Consider the following 19,570-nt stretch of genomic DNA (forward strand, 5'->3'; position numbering starts at 1 on the left):
GAATTCAGAAATAGGGGAAGGTTGAGGAAGGACACTGAACTCAAAGGGGATACAGTGATTGGTTTATTTGTCTTCTCTTCACAACATTGGTGCTGGAGGAATTCCCACCCTGAGGTTATGAAGATGTCTGAACACCCAACACATAGCACTGGAGATATGAGCTCGACAAGAGTTTCTCAGCCACAGAGATTCACAGCCTAGGGCAGGAGGACACTGTACACCAGGCAGAATGACATGGGAATTGCGCTCACGATTGGCTTGAAGAAGCAAGGACTGTGGGAGGTGGGCTTTGTAGTAACAAGAGGGCAGGGTGAACTCTGATTCCCATGGGGGAATGTGATGGTCCTGTTACAAATTTTTCAAGCTGGCAGGGAATAAAACCCATTACGGTGAGGACCTGTGGAGGGCGGCTGCCCCAACTGATAAAGGAAATAGCCAGGTGGGGGCCTTTCCCATTGTAGGGGGGACATATCTGGCAATAGAAGCCTTTGAGACCCTTTAGGGTACAAGTACTGAGGCAGCAAATAAAATGAAATCTTATTTTTCAACTTTATACTGCATGGGTGTGAAGATATATTTGTTTCTGTACAGGGGGTGAGGGAAAGGAGGGGAGGAGGAAAGTTCCTGGAGGTCTGGTTTGGTCTTGTGATCCAGGGGGTCTTGGAACTATTTAAATTAAATTAAATTAAAACAAGCGACTGTTTTAAATTAAATTAAATTAAATTAAATTAAATTAAATTAAATTTTACTTTATTTTATCTTAAGTTCTGGGCTACATGTGCAGGACGTGCAGCTTTGTTACATAGGTAAACATGTGCCATGGTGGTTTGCTGTACCTATCAACCCATCACCTAGGTATTAAGCCCAGCATGCATTAGCTGTTTTTCCTGACGCTCTCCCTCTCCCTGACTCCCACAACAGGCCCCAGTGTGTGTTGTTCCCCTCCCTGTGTCCATGTGTTCTCATTGTTCAGCTCCCACTTATAAGTGAGAACATGTGGTGTTTGGTTTTCTGTTTCTGTGTTAGTTTGCTGAGGATAATGGCTTCCACCTCCATCCATGTTCCTGCAAAGGACGTGATCTTATTCTTTTTTATGGTTGCATAGAAATTGTTTTTACAAATCCAATTGATATTGTATTTAATTACAAGTTAATCTAATTAGCATACTAGAAGAGATTACAGAAGATATTAGGTACATTGAATGAGAAAATATATAAAATAGGACGAAGGTGAAATATTAGGTAGGAAAAGTATAATAGTTGAAAGAAGTAAAAAAAAATATGCATGAGTAGCAGAATGTAAAAGAGGTGAAGAACGTAATAGTGACTTTTTAGACCAGATTGAAGGACAGAGACAGAAAAATTTTAAGGAATTGCTAAACCATGTGAGTGTTAGAAGTACAGTCAATAACATTAAAGCCTCAGGAGGAGAAAAGAATAGGAAAGGAGGAAATATGTGAATAAATAGTAGAGACATGTTTGATGGATTTTAAAATATTTGAAAGACCTCACATCAAAGGATTCATACCGTGCCATTGAAGAGGAAGATGGAAAAGCCAAGAAGCCAGATGAAAGTTAGAAATATTATTGGCAAAGCTTAAATGTTAAAAGTCCTAGAGAGAAAGGATGGCAGAAATATTGGCGGGAAAGAATGCAGAACCTAGAATATAAATTCATCCCAACAGTTTGGTAGTGTGCAGCTGTAGCCTTTTCTAGATAATACACTATTGTCATACATCGCTTAAGCGAGTGTAAAATGGTCTCCTCACTTTATTTATTTATATATTTATTTAGTTTTGAGATGGAGCCTCGCTCTGTCTCCTAGGCTGGAGTGCAATAGTGCGATACCACTCACTGCAACCTCTGCCTCCTCTGTTCAAGTGATTTTCTTACCTCAGCCTCCCGAGTAGCTGGGATTACAGGTGCGTGCCACCACACCCGGCTAATTTTTGTATTTTTTGTAGAGACGGGGTTTTGCCATGTTGGCCAGGCTGGTCTTGAACTCCTGACATCAGGTGATCCACCTGCCTTGGCCTCCTAAAGTGCTGGGATTACAGGCATGAGCCACCGTGCCCAATCACTTTATTTATTTTTTATTTTTATTTTTAAATTTCAGCTTCTATTTGAAATACAGGGGGCACATATATAGGATTGTTACATGGGTATATTGAACTCAGGTAGTGATCATACTACCCAACAGGTAGGTTTTCAACCCACTCCCCCTCTTTTCCTCCCCATTCTAGTAGTGTGCAGTGTCTATTGTTCTCATGTTTATGTCTATGTGTGCTCCAGGTTTAGCTCCCACCTGTAAGTGAGAACGTGTGGTATTTGATTTTCTGTCCCTGTGTTAATTCACTTAGGATTATGGCTTCCAGCTCCATTCATATTGCTGTAAAGGATATGATTCATTTTTCATGGCCATGCAGTATTCCATATTGCGTATAGATCACATTTTCTTTCTTTTTTTTTTTTGAGACGGAGTCTTGCTTTGCTGCCTAGGCTGGAGTGCAGTAGCACGATCTCGGCTCACTGCAAGCTTCACCTCCGGGGTTCACGTCATTCTTCTGTCTCAGCTTCCCAAGTAGCTGGGACTACAGGCGCCCGCCACCACGTCCGGCTAATTTTTTTGTGTGTTTTTAGTAGAGATGGGGGTTTCACTGTGTTAGCCAGGATGGTCTTGATCTCCTGACCTTGTGGTCCACCTGCCTCGGTCTCCCAAAGTGCTGGGATTACAGGGGTGAGCCACTGCGCCCGGCCCATATATACCACATTTTCTTTAACCAATCCACCATTGATGGGCAACTAGGTAGATTCCATGGATTCCACAGTTTTGCTATTGTGTGCAGTGTGGCAGTAGACATATGAATGAATGTGTCTTTTTGGTATAATGATTTGCATTCCTTTGGGTATACAGTCATTAATAGGAGTGCTGGGTTGAACGGTGGCTCTGTTTAAAATTCTTTGAGAATTTTCCAAACTGTTTGCCATAGAGAACAAACTAATTTACATTTCCACGAACAGTATATAAGCATTCCCTTTTCTCCACAGCTTTGTCATCATGGTTTTTTTTTCTTTATTTTAAAAAAGAATATGTTGTTGTTTTCCCAGGGTACATGTGCAGGATGTGCAGGTTTGTTACATAGGTAGTAAACGTGAGCCATGGTGGTTTGCTGCACCTGTCAACCCATTACCTGGGTATGAAGCCCTGCCTGCATTAGCTCTTTTCCCTAATGCTCTCACTACTGCCCCACCCTCACCCTGACAGGGCAAACAGACAACCTACAGAATGGGAGGAAATTTTTGCAATCTATTCATCTGACAAAGGTCAAGAATATCCAGAATCTACAAGGAACTTAAGCAAATTTTTACTTTTTAATAATAGCCACTCTGACTGGCGTGAAATGGTATCTCATTGTGGTTTTCATTTGAATTTCTCTGATGATCAGTGACAATGAGCATTTTTTCATATTTGTTGGCTGCTTGTACGTCTTTTGAGAAGTGTCTCTTCATGCCTTTTGGCCACTTTAATGGGATTATTTTTTGCTTTTTAGTTTAAGTTCCTTATAGATTCTGGATATTAGACTTCTTATTGGATGCATAGTTTGTGAATACTCTCTTCCATTCTGTAGGTTGTCTGTTTACTCTATTGATGGCTTCTTTTGCTGTGCCGAAGCATCTTAGTTTAATTAGAAACCACCTGCCAATTTTTGTTTTTGTTGCAATTGCTTTTGGGGACTTAGTCATAAACTCTTTGCCAAGGTCTGGGTCAAGAAGAGTATTTCCTAGGTTTTCTTCTAGAATTTTGAAAGTCTGAATGTAAACATTTGCATTTTTAATGCATCTTGAGTTAGCTTTTGTATATGTGAAAGGTCTACTCTCATTTTCTTTCCCTCTTTCTTTCTTTCTTTTCTTTCCCTCTTTCTTTCTTTCTTTTCTTTCTTTCTTTCTTTCTTTCTTTCTTTCTTTCTTTCTTTCTTTTTGTCCTTCTTTCTTTCTTTCTCTTTCTTTCTCTCTTTCTTTTTTTTTTTTTTTGATGGAGTATTGCTCTGTTGCCCAGGCTGCAGTGCAGTGGCACGATCTTGGCTCACTGCAACCTCTGCCTCCTGGGTTCAACTGATTCTCCTGCATCAGCCTTCCAAGTAGCTGGGATTATAGGCGCCCGCCACCACGCCCGACTAATTTTTGTATTTTTAGTAGAGACGGGGTTGTGCCATGTTGGCCAGGCTGGTTTGAAACTCCTGACCTCAAACGATCTGCCTGCCTTGGCCTCCCAAAGTGCTGGGATTACAGGTGTGAGCCACTGTGCCCAGCCAAGAATGTCATTTTCTAAGAGGTCCAAGAACCTCAAGATATTTTGGGACCTTGAGAAGAGAGGAATTCATACAGGTATTACAAGCACAGCCTAATGGCAAATCTTTGGCGTGGCTTGGCTTCAAGACTTTAGGCTCTTAAAAGTCGAATCCAAAATTTTTTATAAAAGCTCCAGCTAAGCTACCTTAAAAGGGGCCTGTATGGCTGATCACTCTTCTTGCTATACTTTACACAAATAAACAGGCCAAATATAATGAGGCCAAAATTTATTTTGCAAATAAATTGGTCCTGCTATGATTTACTCTTGGTAAGAACAGGGAAAATAGAGAAAAATTTAGATTGCATCTGACCTTTTTTTCTGAATTTTTATATGTGCCTACAATTTGAGCTAAATCCTGAATTATTTTCTGGTTGCAAAAACTCTCTAAAGAAGAACTTGGTTTTCATTGTCTTCGTGACACATTTATCTGGCTCTTTACTAGAACAGTTTTCTTGTTTTTGGTGTTCTAGCTTGTGTGCCTTACAGTTCTACTCTTCAAATTATTGTTATGTGTATCTCATAGTTTTCCTTCTTTTGAGAAAACTGAAGCCATGGTATTCTGAGGACTAGAGATGACTCAACACAGCTGGTGAATCTCCTCATATGCAATCCACTGGGCTTGATCTGCTTCAGATTGCTGATGCACTGCTGCTAAAGCTATACATTTAAAACCCTCACTAAAGGATCAGGGACCATCATGGAAGAGGAGGAAACATGAAATTGTAAGAGCCAGATTCGGGGGGTAGAGTGTGGAGGTCAGAGCAACTCCACCTTGAATAAGAAGGTAAAGCAACCTATCCTGAAAGCTAACCTGCCATGGTGGCTTCTGATTAACCCCTGTTCTGGGAAGACTGACAGTTTGGGTCTGTGTCATTGCCCAAATCTCATGTTAAATTGTAATCCCCAGTGTTCGGAGGTGGGACTTGGTGGTAGGTGATTCGGTCATGGGAGTAGATTTTCTTCTTTGTGGTGTTACAGTGATAGTGAGTGAGTTCTCGTGAGATCTGGTCATTTAAAAGTGTGTGGCCCCTCCCCTCCCTCTCTTGGTCCTCCTACTGCCATGTAAGATACCTGCTCCTGCTTTGCCTTCTACCATAAGTAAAAGCCCCCTGAGGCCTCCCCAGAAGCAGATGCCACCATGCTTCCTGTACAGCCTGCAGAACCATCAGCCAATTAAACCTCTTTTCTGTATAAATTACCAGTCTTGAGTATTTCTTTACAGCAGTGTGAGAACGGACTAATACAAGGATCTCCAAAATTCCAAGTTTATGTATTCTTTCTTGCCAAATAGCAGGTATTTACCATAAATCCTGTCCTTAGGTCAAACAACCTTGATGGCATCGTACTTCAATTGTCTTACACATTCCTTCTGAATGACTCCTCCCCTATGGCATATAAGCCCTGGGTCTTGGGGGATAATGGCAGAGGGGTCCACCATCTTGTCTGGCTGCCACCTGAGACACAGACATGGCTTCTGTTGGTAAGTCTCTATTAAATGTTTCTTTCTAAGAAACTGGATTTGTCAGCTTGTTTCTTTGGACTCTCAGCTTCCTCAGACTTTGGGGTAGGTTGCACAACCCTGCCCACCATGAAACAAATGTTTAATATGATAAATATGGATAGATATAATCCACATAAATAAAAGCTCTTGGAGGGCCCTCAATAATTGTTAAGAGTGTAAATGTGTCCAAAGATGGAAAATGTTTGAGAACTACTGTCCCAGAGATTTTCCTGAGTTCTAGAGTGTGGGAATATAGAACCTGGAGCTTGGCTTCTTCAGCCTAGAATCAGGAGTATGGGGCTGAAGTCTGAAGCTTGGCTTCAGCAGTTTGGGGTTGGCTTCCGGAGCACATATTTGACATGTTGCGACTGTGGTTTGGGGTTTGGTATTTGCTCTGAATCCTAATGTCTGTCCTTGAGGCATCTAGAATCTGAAATCTGTGGTCAGAATTCTATTATCTTGAGTAGGACATCTCCAGTCCTGGTTCTGCCTTCTAGGGCTGGAGTCTGTAGTCAGTGACCCGGTCTGGCATTTCAACTTCATATACAGTGGGCTATCTTTTGGTCCATGTTTCAACCAAACAACCGAATAAACCATTAGAACCTTTCCCCACTTCCCTAGCTGCAATGTTAAACCTAGGATTTCTGTTTAATAGGTTCATATGAATAATTTCAGCCTGATCCAACTTTACATTCCTTCTACCGTTATTCTACACCCACCTTAAAAATGCATTCCCAATATATTCCCTGGATTCTACCTATATATGGTAATCCTGGCTTTGCCAGTTTCTAGTGCATTAACATACCTGATTTACATTCTTTTACTTTAAAGTGGAAATAAGAGTCCCTCTGCAGAGTTCAGGAGTTCTCAAGATGGCCCTTACTTCTGACATCAATTGAGATTTCAAGGGAGTCACCAAGATCATCCTCAGGTTCAGTGATTGCTGGTAGCCCTCATATAACTCAATGAAAGCTGTTATGCTCATGGCTATGGTTTATTACAGCAAAAGAATAGAGATGAAAATCTAGCAAGGGAAGAGTTGCATGGGGCAAAGACAAGGAGAGCTCCAAGTGCAGAGATTCCTGTTGTTTTCTCCCAGTGGTGTCATGGAAAGCAGTATCTTCTCCATACAATGATGTGTGATAATATTCAGTGTATTGCCAATCAGGGAACTCAACTGAGCCTTGATTATATTGGAGCTTGGTTGCACAGACATGTCGACCACCTTCATGGCTGAACTTTAGTACTTAGCCCCTCCAGACGTCTACAGCTGATAGGCTGTAACCCAACATTGTCACCATAAATCACATTGTTAGACTATCCAGTGTGGCCCAAGCTCCCGTGTAAACACAGGCACTCTAAACAGGCAGGATATTTCAAAAGCTTAGAGATGACCTCTCAGGAGCTGAATGCAAAGACCTGGCCTCTTTGGGCAAGGAGAATCCTTTACTGCACACTCTCCTTCACAGGGTTATTGTGAGGATCAAATGTGGTCATGTGTGTGAGACACCAGCACATGTCTGGCTGTGGAGAGTGACTTCTATGTGTGCTAACATTGCTGAGTGCTAAGAAAGTATTAGGCATGGCTTTCAGCACTCACAGATGCTCATCTAATCCTCACAACATGGCTACAGGGTGGGCACTACTAGCCTCATTTGACAGAGGAAAGGACTGTGGATAAGAAGGGGGTGACCAATAGGTCAGAGTCATTCTGGATGCAAGGGGCTCCAGAGGACCATGATTAGACATTGTCTGCAGAGAAATTATGGCTGGATGTCTCTGCCCCGGAAAGGGGGATGCACTTTCCTTGACCCCCTATCTCAGATCTTGACTTTGAGGTTATCTCAGACTTCCTCTATGATACCAGGAGCCCATCATAATCTCTCTGTGCCCTCTCCCCTTCCTCAGTCTTACTGCCCACTCTTCCCAGCTCCATCTCCAGCTGGCCAGGTGTAGCCACAGTACCTAACTCTTTGCAGAGAACTATAAATGTGTATCCTACAGGGGAGAAAAAAAAAAGAACTCTGAAAGAGCTGACATTTTACCGACTTGCAAACACATAAGCTAACCTGCCAGTTTTGTGCTGGTAGAACTCATGAGACTCCTGGGTCAGAGGCAAAAGATTTTATTACCCACAGCTAAGGAGGCAGCATGAACTTTGTGTTCACATTTGTTCACTTTGCCCCCCAATTCATATGGGATGATCAGAGCAGTTCAGGTGGATGGACACAGGGGTTTGTGGCAAAGGTGAGCAACCTAGGCTTAGAAATCCTCAATCTTATAAGAAGGTACCAGCAAACTTGTCCAGTCTTTGTATCTGACGGAGATATTATCTTTATAATTGGGTTGAAAGCAGACCTACTCTGGAGGAACATATTGTATTTATTGTCCTGAACAGTAAACAAATCTGCTGTAAAATAGACGTTAACTTTATTATCTAAGGCAGTAAGCAAACCTAGATCTGAAGGCGATACCATCTTGCAAGGCTATCTGCTGTACAAATATGCTTGAAAAGATGGTCCAGAAAAGAAAACGGTATTATTGCCTTTGCTCAGAAGACACACAGAAACATAAGAGAACCATGGAAAATTGTCTCCCAACACTGTTCACCCAGAGCCTTCCACTCTTGTCTGCAGGACAGTCTTAACATCCCATCATTAGTGTGTCTACCACATCTGGCTTCACTGTGCCTAACCAAGATTTCTAGGTCCAGTTCCCCACCATGTTTGGCAGTGCCCCACTGCCAACCCCAGAATAAGGGAGTGCTCAGAATTTCGAGGGGACATGGGTGGGGATCAGAACTTCTGGGCTTGAGTGCAGAGGGGGCCCATACTCCTTGGTTCCGAAGGAGGAAGAGGCTGGAGGTGAATGTCCTTGGAGAGGAGGAATGTGGGTTCTGAACTCTTAAATCCCCAAGGGAGGAGACTGGTAAGGTCCCAGCTTCCGAGGTACTGACGTGGGAATGGCCTGAGAGGTCTAAGAATCCCGTATCCTCGGGAAGAAGGGGCTGAAATTGTGAGGGGTTGAGTTGCAGGGGTTTGTTAGCTTGAGACTCCTTGGTGGGTCCCTGGGAAGCAAGGACTGGAACCATTGGCTCCAGGGTTTGGTGTGAAGGTAATGGAATCTCCTGATTCTCAAAGGGTCAGAGGACTGAGAGTTGCCCATGCTTTGATCTTTCCATCTACTCCTTACTCCACTTGAGGGTAATCACCTACTCTTCTAGTTCCACAAGAGTGCGCCTGCGCGAGTATAATCTGCACATGTGCCATGTCCCGAGGCCTGGGGCATCATCCACTCATCATTCAGCATCTGCACTATGCGGGCGAGGCCGGCGCCATGACGTCATGTAGCTGCGACTATCCCTGCAGCGCGCCTCTCCCGTCACGTCCCAACCATGGAGCTGTGGACGTGCGTCCCCTGGTGGATGTGGCCTGCGTGGTGCCAGGCCGGGGCCTGGTGTCCGATAAAGATCCTAGAACCACAGGAAACCAGGACTGAAAGGTGCTAGAGAATGGCCATATGTCGCTGTCCATGAAATCTCAAGGACTTCTGGGTGGAGGGCACAGGAGCCTGAACTTACGGGTTTGCCCCACTCCACTGTCCTCCCAAGTGAGTCTCCCAGATACGAGGCACTGTGCCAGCATCAGCTTCATCTGTACCACATCTTGTAACAGGGACTACCCAGGGCCCTGATGAACACCATGGTGTGTGCAGGAAGAGCGGGTGAAGGCACGGACTCCTGTGTGGTCAGAGCCCAGAGGGGGCCATGACGGGTGGGGAGGAGGCTGTGGACTGGCTCGAGAAGTGGGATGTGGTTGTGTTTGATCTCCTTTGGCCAGATAAAGTGCTGGATATAGCATTGAAAACGGAGTATGAAGACCAGTTAGAATGGAGGGTCAGGTTGGAGTTGAGTTACAGATGGGGTAAAATTCTGCTTCGGATGAGTTTGGGGATTGGCAATTTAAAGGTGGTTTGGGATGGCATGGCTTTGGGATGGAAATAGGTTTGTTTTTATGTTGGCTGGGAAGGGTGTGGGGATTGAATTGGGGATGAAGTAGGTTTAGTTTTGGAGATAGAATACATGGAGCTGGCTATTGCATGCGAGGATGTGCATTAGTTTGGTTTGATCTTTAAATGAAGGAGGCTATTAGGGTTGTCTTGAATTAGATTAAGTTGTGTTGGGTTGATGGGTTGGGCTTGTGGGTGATGTGGTTGGATTGGGCTGTGTTAAATTGGTTTGGGTCAGGTTTTGGTTGAGGTTATCATGGGGATGAGGATATGCTTGGGACACTGGATTCAGGTGGTTCTCATTCAAGCTGAGGCAAATTTCCTTTCAGACGGTCATTCCAGGGAACGAGTGGTTGTGTGGGGGAAATCAGGCCACTGGCTGTGAATATCCCTCTATCCTGGTCTTGAATTGTGATTATCTATGTCCACTTCTGTCTCCTTCACTGTACTTGGAATTGATCTGGTCATTCAGCTGGAAATGGGGGAAGATTTTGTCAAATTCTTGAGACACAGCTGGGTCTGGATCAGCGTAAGCTGCTCTGGTTTTATTGAACAGATGAAATCACATTTTTTTTTTCAAAATCAAAGAAATCTTATAGAGTTAACAGTGGACTCTTATAATAAGAGTTAACACCAGGACTCTTATTCTTGATTCTTTTCTGAGACACCAAAATGAGATTTCTCAATGCCACCCTAATTCTTTTTTTTTTTTTTTTTTTTTTTGAGACACAGTCTGGGTCTTTTGCTCTGTCACTCAGGCTGGAGCGCAGTGGTGTGATCATAGCTCACTGAACCCTTGACCTCCTGGACTTAAGGGATCCTCCTGCTTCAGCCTCCTGAGTAGATGGGGCTACAGGTGCTTGCCACCACACCTGGCTAATTAAATTTTTTTTTTTTTTTTGTAGAGAAAGGGTCTCACTTTGTTGCCCTGGCTGATCTTGAACTTCTGACTTCAAGTGATTCTTCAGCCTTGGACTCCCAAAGCACTGGGATTGCTGGCATGAGCCACTCACCGTGCCTGGCTTGCAGCTTAATCTTGGAGTGTATAAACCTGGCTCCTGATAGCTAGACATTTCAGTGAGAAGGAGGCATTGGATTTTGCATGAGGACAATTCTGACCTAGGAGGGCAGGTCAACAGGAATCCCCGCTGTACCTGTACGTTGTACAGGCATGGAGAATGAGGAGTGAGGAGCCACCGGAACCCCATATTGTTTAGTGGACATTGGATTTTGAAATAATAGGGAACTTGGTCTGGGAGAGTCATATTTCTGGATTGGACAATATGTGGTATCACAAGGTTTTATGATGAGGGAGAAATGTATGTGGGGAACCATTTTCTGAGTGTGGAAGTGCAAGAATCAGAGAGTACTGAATGCCAACGCTTCTATTTCAGGAACATGGTAAGTTGGAGGTCCAGCTTCTGGGCTCAGACGGGTATAGGGACCAGGAAGTCTCACAATCCGATCATTCTGATATTTCAGGGCATATTAGGTTTGGGGTGCAAAGGAAGTACTTGGGACTTAGGCACATGAGACTTTGTATTGAAAATCAATGATTGGGGCTGGCCGTGGTGGCTCACGCCTGTAATCTCATCACTTTGGGAGACCGAAGTGGGAGGATGGCTTGAGCCCAGGAGTTGGAGACCAGCCTAGGCAACATAGCCAGACCCTCTCTCTACAAAAAAATTAAAAATTAGCTGGATGTGGTGGTGCATGCTTGTGGTCTCAGCTATCCTGGAGGCTGAGACAGGAGAATCGGTTGAGTCTGGGAGTTCAAGGCTACAGGGAGCTGCGATCACGCCGCTGCACTCCAGCCTGGGAAACAGAGTGAGACTGTCTCAGAATTTTTTTAAAAAAGAATCAGTGATCATCCCAACCCCTGTTGCTGTTCATCCTGAGCCTGCCTTCTCTGGCTTTGTTCCCTAGATCACATCTCCATGATCCATAGGCCCTGCCCAATCTGACCTCACACCGTGGGAATGCCTCCAGACTGATCTAGTATGTGTGGAACAGCAAGTGCTGGCTCTCCCTCCCCTTCCACAGCTCTGGGTGTGGGAGGGGGTTGTCCAGCCTCCAGCAGCATGGGGAGGGCCTTGGTCAGCATCTAGGTGCCAACAGGGCAAGGGCGGGGTCCTGGAGAATGAAGGCTTTATAGGGCTCCTCAGGGAGGCCCCCCAGCCCCAAACTCACCACCTGGCCGTGGACACCTGTGTCAGCATGTGGGACCTGGTTCTCTCCATCGCCTTGTCTGTGGGGTGCACTGGTGAGATTGGGGGGATAAAGGAAGGGGGGCGGGTTCTGACTCTTATGCTGAAGCCCTTTTCCTCCCACCCAGTGCCCCAGCCTCGTCCCTTCAGCCCACAGTTCAGCCCAGACAATGTGCCCCTGACTCTTCCACATTGCAATAGTCCTCATGCCCACACTAGGTCCCCGCTCCCTCCCACTTACCTCAGACCTTTCTCTCCATTGCCCAGCCAAATCCCTGCTCCCAGCTGCTTTACTAAAGAGCAAGTTCCTGGGCATCTCTGTGTTTCTCTTTATGGGGTTCAAAACCTTTCAAGGACCTCTCTCCATGCCACTGGTTCCTTGGACCCTATCACTGGGCTGCCTCCTGAGCCCCTCAGTCCTACCACAGTCTACTGACTTTTCCTATTCAGCTGTGAGCATTCAACCCTGTCCCCTGGACCTTGACACCTGGCTCCCCAACCCTGTCCCAGGAAACCCAGATTCCACCAGACACTTCCTTCTTCCCCCCGAGGCTATCTGGCCTGAGACAACAAATGCTGCCTCCCACCCTGAGTCTGGCACTGGGACTTTCAGAACTCCTCCTTCCCTGACTCTTTGCCCCAGACCCGTCATTCAATGGCTAGCTTTTTCCATGGGAAAAACACGAGCACCCCCAACCACAACGGCCAGTTCTCTGATTCCCTAAATCCGCACCCTTTTCAAAACCTCAAAAACAAAACAAAACAAAACAAAGCAAGAAACAACTCAGGCAGAACTGTTTGCTTAACCTTGGACATGGTAAACCATCCAAAACCTTCCTCTCCCAGCAACTAAACCTCTCCACTGGGCACTTATCCTTGGTTTCTGGAACCTCTTATTCTCTTAGAACCCACAGCTGCCACCACAGTGTCCCTTCTCCCAGTGTAAGACCCCAAATCACTCCAAATGACCCAACCCCCAACCCGATGCCTGCTTCAGATGTTTCCCATGTCCCCTACTCTGATCTCTGGGGTCAGCTCCGTTCTCAGAGCATGAAGCCTCCCGACCTGGTCCAGCCACCAACCCGCTAACGCAGGGAATAGCTACAGAATTGCCAGCCCTCCCAGGACCCCTTGCTTGTGTCCTGGACTCCCAGTCCTGGTCCTCTGCCCCCATGTCTCTTCAAACCCACAGCTCAGCTCCCTCCCCTATCCAATTCTTTTGGGTCTGATCCCCCTGACCCAGCACCCCCTCCGCAGGTGCCGTGCCCCTCATCCAGTCTCGGATTGTGGGAGGCTGGGAGTGTGAGAAGCATTCCCAACCCTGGCAGGTGGCTGTGTACAGTCATGGATGGGCACACTGTGGGGGTGTCCTGGTGCACCCCCAGTGGGTGCTCACAGCTGCCCATTGCCTAAAGAAGTAAGTAGGACCCTGGGATCTGGGGAGGGAATGGCTGTGTCCCACAGGAATAACAGCGGGATGCTTCCCCCAGGGTCACTTCTCAGGTGAGGCTTCAGACTAAAGGAGAGAGGGAAGGTCCTGGCCCAGGTCGCACCCGGAGGCAGAGCTGGGGCTGGACCACTCTCCCCATGGCTGCCTGGGTTTCTCTCTGTGTCTGATCTCGCTGTGTCTCTTGGTATCTGGCTCTGGTTGTGTCTGTATGACTGTGTTTTGGTCTCTATGTCCCTCTCTCTTTTCTGTCTCCCTGTGTCTGTGTCTCCCCCGTCTCTGTCTCTGGGTCTCTCTGTGGCCATCTCTGTCACCGTGTGTCTCACCCTGCATCTCTTTGCCTGTCTTTCTCTCTGGGTCTCTGCCTCAGCCCTTCCTCATCACTACTGAACACACCCCGTGAGGGTGGGTGGGGAGCACCCAGAAAAAGGAAGGACTTTAAGCTCAATGTGTGTGCATGTGAGGGGGTGCCTGTCATTGCACAGCACTCTCTGCAGGACATCCCTCCACCCTGGGGAGACACAGGGAGGGCTGGTTTCAGCTGTAGCTGGGTGCACAATTGAGGAGGGAGGAAGGAGAAGGGGAAACAAGAAAGGAGGGGAAGGTGGCCGGGCACGGTGGCCCACGCCTGTAATCCCAGCACTTTGGGAGGCCGAGGTGGGTGGATCATCTGAGGTCAGGAGTTTGAAACCAGCCTGGCCAACATGGCAAAACCCCGTCTCTACTAAAAATACAAAAAGTAGCCAGGCGTGGTGCTGCGCGCCTGTAATCCCAATTACTAGGGAGGCTGAGGCAGGAGAATCGCTTGAACCCGGGAGGGAGAGGTTGCAGTGAGCCGAGATCGTGCCACTGCACTCCAGCCTGGGTGACAGAGCAAGACTCCATCTCAGAAAAAACAAACAAACAAACAAACAACAAAAAAAATCGAAAGGAGGGGAAGGGAGCTGGAGAGAGAAAGGGGGACGTGGCCCTGAGCTGTGGGCCGGGCCACCCGCCACTACAGAGCCCTCACTCCAGCCCCAGCTGCAGGTGAGCCACCCTCATGCCTCTCCTCCTCCCCCTGCTACTCCACACTCCTCAGATGCCCCCGTGGCCTCCCTCCTTTTTCTCTCCCACACTGTATCACCCCTGGCTTCCTCTCTGCTGTTTCTCCTTCTCTCTCTGACTTCCCGCATCCTTTTCTCATTTGTCTATTTCTCACTCCCTTCCTGGTTCTGTTCTTTCTCCCTTCCTCTTCCCCATGTCTATTTCTTGCTGTCTCTGTCTCTTCTTTGCTCATCCTAATTCTCACTGTTCTCCCTTCTGTTTTTGTCATTCCTCTGCCATTTTATGCTCTCTCTTTTCCACTTCGTTTCTTTCAGTTTCTGTCTCTGCCTCTCACATGATCACACTCCTGTTTTCTAACTCACTGTCTGTATTTCACCACGACTATATCTCCCCGACCCCTGTGCTTTTCTCACTGTTTCTTTTTCTTCCCTTTGGAGTCTCCCTTATCCTCCCCTGCCCCATCTACCTTTCCCCATTTTCTCTCTCCTCATGCATCCACCCCCTTCCTCCCCAGGAATAGCCAGGTCTGGCTGGGTCGGCACAACCTGTTTGAGCCTGAAGACACAGGCCAGAGGGTCCCTGTCAGCCACAGCTTCCCACACCCGCTCTACAATATGAGCCTTCTGAAGCATCAAAGCCTTAGACCAGATGAAGACTCCAGCCATGACCTCATGCTGCTCCGCCTGTCAGAGCCTGCCAAGATCACAGATGTTGTGAAGGTCCTGGGCCTGCCCACCCAGGAGCCAGCACTGGGGACCACCTGCTACGCCTCAGGCTGGGGCAGCATCGAACCAGAGGAGTGTACGCCTGGGCCAGATGGTGTAGCTGGGAGCCCAGATGCCTGGGTCTGAGGGAAGTGGGGCCAAAGAACCAGGTGGGGTCCGGCCACAGCCCAGTTTTTCTCTGACCCATAGTCTTGCGCCCCAGGAGTCTTCAGTGTGTGAGCCTCCATCTCCTGTCCAATGACATGTGTGCTAGAGCTTACTCTGAGAAGGTGACAGAGTTCATGTTGTGTGCTGGGCTCTGGACAGGTGGTAAAGACACTTGTGGGGTGAGTCATCCCTACTCCCAACATCTGGAGGGGAAAGGTGAGTGAAGACCCTAATTCTGGGCTGCAATCTGAAAGCTAACCAGACATCTGCCTCCCCTGCTCCCCAGCTATAGCCACGCCCCCTCCCCATGCCTCATCTGCCGCCCTCCTTCCCCCTTCCCTGACTCCCTCAACACAAGAGGTGATTCTCACAGCATAATTCACCCATTCCTGTGTTGAGCACATGCTTACTGGGCACCTGCTACGTGACCAGCATTGCCGTAGACCCTGGGAAGCAGCAGTGAACAGGTAGAGAGCAGCCTCTCCCTCCTGCAGCCCCCATGCTGGTGAGGGGCACTGGCAGGAACAGTGGACCCAACATGGAAATGCTGGAGGGTGTCAGGAAGTGATCGGGCTCTGGGGCAGGGAGGAGGGGTGGGGAGTGTCACTGGGAGGGGACATCCTGCAGAAGGTAGGAGTGAGCAAACACCCGCTGCAGGGGAGGGGAGAGCCCTGCGGCACCTGGGGGAGCAGAGGGAGCAGCACCTGCCCAGGCCTGGGAGGAGGGGCCGGGAGGGCGTGAGGAGGAGCGAGGGGGCTGCATGGCTGGAGTGAGGGATCAGGGGCAGGGCGCGAGATGGCCTCACACAGGGAAGAGAGGGCCCCTCCTGCAGGGCCTCACCTGGGCCACAGGAGGACACTGCTTTTCCTCTGAGGAGTCAGGAGCTGTGGATGGTGCTGGACAGAAGAAGGACAGGGCCTGGCTCAGGTGTCCAGAGGCTGTCGCTGGCTTCCCTTTGGGATCAGACTGCAGGGAGGGAGGGCGGCAGGGTTGTGGGGGGAGTGACGATGAGGATGACCTGGGGGTGGCTCCAGGCCTTGCCCCTGCCTGGGCCCTCACCCAGCCTCCCTCACAGTCTCCTGGCCCTCAGTCTCTCCCCTCCACTCCATCCTCCATCTGGCCTCAGTGGGTCATTCTGATCACTGAACTGACCATACCCAGCCCTGCCCACGGCCCTCCATGGCTCCCCAATGCCCTGGAGAGGGGACATCTAGTCAGAGAGTAGTCCTGAAGAGGTGGCCTCTGCGATGTGCCTGTGGGGGCAGCATCCTGCAGATGGTCCCGGCCCTCATCCTGCTGACCTGTCTGCAGGGACTGTCCTCCTGGACCTTGCCCCTTGTGCAGGAGCTGGACCCTGAAGTCCCCTCCCCATAGGCCAAGACTGGAGCCTTGTTCCCTCTGTTGGACTCCCTGCCCATATTCTTGTGGGAGTGGGTTCTGGAGACATTTCTGTCTGTTCCTGAGAGCTGGGAATTGCTCTCAGTCATCTGCCTGCGCGGTTCTGAGAGATGGAGTTGCCTAGGCAGTTATTGGGGCCAATCTTTCTCACTGTGTCTCTCCTCCTTTACCCTTAGGGTGATTCTGGGGGTCCACTTGTCTGTAATGGTGTGCTTCAAGGTATCACATCATGGGGCCCTGAGCCATGTGCCCTGCCTGAAAAGCCTGCTGTGTACACCAAGGTGGTGCATTACCGGAAGTGGATCAAGGACACCATCGCAGCCAACCCCTGAGTGCCCCTGTCCCACCCCTACCTCTAGTAAATTTAAGTCCACCTCACGTTCTGGCATCACTTGGCCTTTCTGGATGCTGGACACCTGAAGCTTGGAACTCACCTGGCCGAAGCTCGAGCCTCCTGAGTCCTACTGACCTGTGCTTTCTGGTGTGGAGTCCAGGGCTGCTAGGAAAAGGAATGGGCAGACACAGGTGTATGCCAATGTTTCTGAAATGGGTATAATTTCGTCCTCTCCTTCGGAACACTGGCTGTCTCTGAAGACTTCTCGCTCAGTTTCAGTGAGGACACACACAAAGACGTGGGTGACCATGTTGTTTGTGGGGTGCAGAGATGGGAGGGGTGGGGCCCACCCTGGAAGAGTGGACAGTGACACAAGGTGGACACTCTCTACAGATCACTGAGGATAAGCTGGAGCCACAATGCATGAGGCACACACACAGCAAGGATGACGCTGTAAACATAGCCCACGCTGTCCTGGGGGCACTGGGAAGCCTAGATAAGGCCGTGAGCAGAAAGAAGGGGAGGATCCTCCTATGTTGTTGAAGGAGGGACTAGGGGGAGAAACTGAAAGCTGATTAATTACAGGAGGTTTGTTCAGGTCCCCCAAACCACCGTCAGATTTGATGATTTCCTAGCAGGACTTACAGAAATAAAGAGCTATCATGCTGTGGTTTATTATGGTTTGTTACATTGATAGGATACATACTGAAATCAGCAAACAAAACAGATGTATAGATTAGAGTGTGGAGAAAACAGAGGAAAACTTGCAGTTACGAAGACTGGCAACTTGGCTTTACTAAGTTTTCAGACTGGCAGGAAGTCAAACCTATTAGGCTGAGGACCTTGTGGAGTGTAGCTGATCCAGCTGATAGAGGAACTAGCCAGGTGGGGGCCTTTCCCTTTGGATGGGGGGCATATCTGACAGTTATTCTCTCCAAGTGGAGACTTACGGACAGCATATAATTCTCCCTGCAAGGATGTATGATAATATGTACAAAGTAATTCCAACTGAGGAAGCTCACCTGATCCTTAGTGTCCAGGGTTTTTACTGGGGGTCTGTAGGACGAGTATGGAGTACTTGAATAATTGACCTGAAGTCCTCAGACCTGAGGTTCCCTAGAGTTCAAACAGATACAGCATGGTCCAGAGTCCCAGATGTACAAAAACAGGGATTCATCACAAATCCCATCTTTAGCATGAAGGGTCTGGCATGGCCCAAGGCCCCAAGTATATCAAGGCACTTGGGCAGAACATGCCAAGGAATCAAATGTCATCTCCCAGGAGTTATTCAAGGGTGAGCCCTTTACTTGGGATGTACAGGCTTTGAGCAGTGCAGGGCTGCTGAGTCAACCTTTTATTGTACAGGGGATGAGGGAAAGGGAGAGGATGAGGAAGCCCCCCTGGGGATTTGGTTTGGTCTTGTGATCAGGTGGTCTATGGGGCTATCCCTACAAAGAAGAATCCAGAAATAGGGGCACATTGAGGAATGATACTGAGCCCAAAGAGCATTCAATCATTGTTTTATTTGCCTTCTTTTCACACCATTGGTGAGGGAGGGATTACCACCCTGGGGTTATGAAGATGGTTGAACACCCCACACATAGCACCGGAGATATGAGATCAACAGTTTCTTAGCCATAGAGATTCACAGCCCAGAGCAGGAGGACGCTGCACACCATGCAGGATGACATGGGGGATGCGCTCGGGATTGGTGTGAAGAAGCAAGGACTGTTAGAGGCAGGCTTTATAGTAACAAGACGGTGGGGCAAACTCTGATTTCCGTGGGGGAATGTCATGGTCTTGCTTTACTAAGTTTTGAGACTGGCAGGTAGTGAAACTCATTAGGCTGAGAACCTTGTGGAATGCAGCTGACCCAGCTGATAGAGGAAGTAGCCAGGTGGGAGCCTTTCCCAGTGGGTGTGGGACATATCTGGCAAGATTTTGTGGCACTCCTGGTTACAGATACTGGGGCAGCAAATAAAACTGAATCTTGTTTTCAGACCTTATACTGTGTAATTGTAAGTGGACATTTAGTAATGTACAGGGGGTCAGGGAAAGACGGGGGATAGTGAATGCACCTGTGGGACTGGTTTGGTTTTGTGATTGAGTAACCCATGGAGTTATCTCTGCAATGATGAATTGTTTGAAAGAAACCTGATTGATTTTATACTGAATTAGAAGTTAATAAGCATGCTGAAAAATAAGAGAACATATTAGGAATATTGAGCAAGACTAACATACATAAAATATGAGAAAAAGGTAGGAAATATTAGGTGGGAAAAATATGATAATTGGAAAAAGTAAAAAAAATGGATTAATAGAATTGAGTAGAGGTGAAGAACGCAATAGTGACATTTTAGACTAGATTGAAGAAAAATGTCAAAGAAATACTGAATGATGTGAGTG

The 19,570-nt window shown here is 47.7% G+C and overlaps 1 protein-coding gene across 5 annotated transcripts, besides 16 other annotated features; it reads left to right on the forward strand.

Annotated features, from left to right (window-relative positions):
* Positions 5,023-12,067: a promoter, noted in NCBI's record as "7 kb CP383 construct fragment". NCBI's record gives its function as "drives expression of the KLK2 gene upon androgen induction in transfected LNCaP cells" and the evidence as "EXISTENCE:reporter gene assay evidence [ECO:0000049][PMID:10197620]".
* Positions 6,888-8,654: an enhancer, noted in NCBI's record as "CP379 construct fragment; includes the DEE 2 (distal enhancer element 2) region that is similar to DEE 1 upstream of KLK3 (see GeneID:106128905)". NCBI's record gives its function as "activates the minimal KLK2 promoter upon androgen induction in transfected LNCaP cells" and the evidence as "EXISTENCE:reporter gene assay evidence [ECO:0000049][PMID:10197620]".
* Positions 7,117-7,310: an origin of replication, noted in NCBI's record as "20mer2 M amplicon; peak of nascent strand synthesis detected by PCR of lambda exonuclease-treated nascent DNA". NCBI's record gives the evidence for it as "EXISTENCE:nuclease protection assay evidence [ECO:0001106][PMID:16707432]".
* Positions 7,221-7,240: an origin of replication, noted in NCBI's record as "20mer2; can confer replication of a plasmid". NCBI's record gives the evidence for it as "EXISTENCE:genetic transformation evidence [ECO:0005027][PMID:16707432]".
* Positions 7,229-8,396: an enhancer, noted in NCBI's record as "CP390 construct fragment". NCBI's record gives its function as "activates the minimal KLK2 promoter upon androgen induction in transfected LNCaP cells" and the evidence as "EXISTENCE:reporter gene assay evidence [ECO:0000049][PMID:10197620]".
* Positions 7,604-8,487: an enhancer, noted in NCBI's record as "hK2 0.8f construct fragment". NCBI's record gives its function as "activates the KLK2 promoter and a heterologous thymidine kinase promoter upon androgen induction in transfected LNCaP cells" and the evidence as "EXISTENCE:reporter gene assay evidence [ECO:0000049][PMID:11064155]".
* Positions 7,869-8,453: a mobile genetic element.
* Positions 7,869-8,455: an enhancer, noted in NCBI's record as "KLK2 LTR40a fragment used in the pGL3 promoter construct". NCBI's record gives its function as "activates an SV40 promoter upon androgen induction in transfected LNCaP and C4-2B cells" and the evidence as "EXISTENCE:reporter gene assay evidence [ECO:0000049][PMID:22597536]".
* Positions 8,215-8,239: a protein binding site, noted in NCBI's record as "ARE E gel shift oligonucleotide". NCBI's record gives the evidence for it as "EXISTENCE:protein binding evidence [ECO:0000024][PMID:11064155]".
* Positions 8,216-8,238: an enhancer, noted in NCBI's record as "ARE E fragment used in triplicate in the pBLCAT2 construct". NCBI's record gives its function as "activates a heterologous thymidine kinase promoter upon androgen induction when triplicated in transfected PC-3 and LNCaP cells" and the evidence as "EXISTENCE:reporter gene assay evidence [ECO:0000049][PMID:11064155]".
* Positions 8,216-8,238: a transcriptional cis regulatory region, noted in NCBI's record as "ARE E region mutated in the CP457 and CP458 constructs". NCBI's record gives its function as "necessary for androgen-responsive activation of the minimal KLK2 promoter in transfected LNCaP cells" and the evidence as "EXISTENCE:site-directed mutagenesis evidence [ECO:0005528][PMID:10197620]".
* Positions 9,096-9,390: an enhancer, noted in NCBI's record as "tiled region #1578; HepG2 Activating non-DNase unmatched - State 4:PromP, and K562 Activating DNase unmatched - State 1:Tss". NCBI's record gives its function as "activates a minimal TATA promoter and a strong SV40 promoter by Sharpr-MPRA in HepG2 and K562 cells {active_cell/tissue: HepG2 | K562}" and the evidence as "EXISTENCE:reporter gene assay evidence [ECO:0000049][PMID:27701403]".
* Positions 11,442-12,067: a promoter, noted in NCBI's record as "hKLK2-597 promoter fragment". NCBI's record gives its function as "androgen-responsive KLK2 promoter in transfected PC-3 cells" and the evidence as "EXISTENCE:reporter gene assay evidence [ECO:0000049][PMID:7686046]".
* Positions 11,714-12,067: a promoter, noted in NCBI's record as "CP325 or hKLK2-323 minimal promoter fragment". NCBI's record gives its function as "androgen-responsive minimal KLK2 promoter in transfected LNCaP and PC-3 cells" and the evidence as "EXISTENCE:reporter gene assay evidence [ECO:0000049][PMID:10197620, PMID:7686046]".
* Positions 11,866-11,880: an enhancer, noted in NCBI's record as "ARE or ARE P fragment used in duplicate or triplicate in reporter pBLCAT2 constructs". NCBI's record gives its function as "activates a heterologous thymidine kinase promoter upon androgen induction when duplicated or triplicated in transfected PC-3 and LNCaP cells" and the evidence as "EXISTENCE:reporter gene assay evidence [ECO:0000049][PMID:7686046, PMID:11064155]".
* Positions 11,866-11,880: a transcriptional cis regulatory region, noted in NCBI's record as "ARE region that has its 5' half-site (6 bp) deleted in the hKLK2-597delta and hKLK2-323delta constructs". NCBI's record gives its function as "necessary for androgen-responsive activation of the KLK2 promoter in transfected PC-3 cells" and the evidence as "EXISTENCE:site-directed mutagenesis evidence [ECO:0005528][PMID:7686046]".
* Positions 12,042-19,170, forward strand: KLK2 (kallikrein related peptidase 2). Of its 5 annotated transcripts, none has more exons than NR_045763.2 (5): positions 12,042-12,122; positions 13,324-13,569; positions 15,075-15,361; positions 15,475-15,611; positions 17,007-19,170. NR_045763.2 is itself a non-coding variant. In NM_001002231.3 (5 exons), exons 1-5 carry the CDS (start codon positions 12,077-12,079, stop codon positions 17,009-17,011), a joined length of 672 nt encoding a protein of 223 aa, NP_001002231.1. In that variant the 5' UTR covers positions 12,042-12,076; the 3' UTR covers positions 17,012-19,170. The 5 variants fall into 5 exon arrangements, 3 of the variants coding, with proteins under 3 accessions (NP_001002231.1, NP_005542.1, NP_001243009.1); NR_045762.2 differs by having other exon boundaries at positions 13,324-13,483; positions 15,488-15,648; NM_001002231.3 differs by having other exon boundaries at positions 13,324-13,483; positions 15,475-15,648.

Source organism: Homo sapiens, chromosome 19 (genome assembly GCF_000001405.40).
Source record: "Homo sapiens chromosome 19, GRCh38.p14 Primary Assembly".
Lineage (NCBI taxonomy): Eukaryota > Metazoa > Chordata > Mammalia > Primates > Hominidae > Homo > Homo sapiens.

What these genes read in the sequence shown, in the direction of transcription:
- KLK2 (NM_005551.5), top strand. Translation starts at nt 12,077, where the DNA reads ATGTGGGACCTGGTTCTCTCCATCGCCTTGTCTGTGGGGTGCACTG. An exon ending in GCTGCCCATTGCCTAAAGAA is followed by an intron (nt 13,484 to 15,074) that starts GTAAGTAGGACC and finishes CTTCCTCCCCAG; the next exon opens with GAATAGCCAGGTCTGGCTGG. An exon ending in GTGGTAAAGACACTTGTGGG is followed by an intron (nt 15,612 to 17,006) that starts GTGAGTCATCCC and finishes CTTTACCCTTAG; the next exon opens with GGTGATTCTGGGGGTCCACT.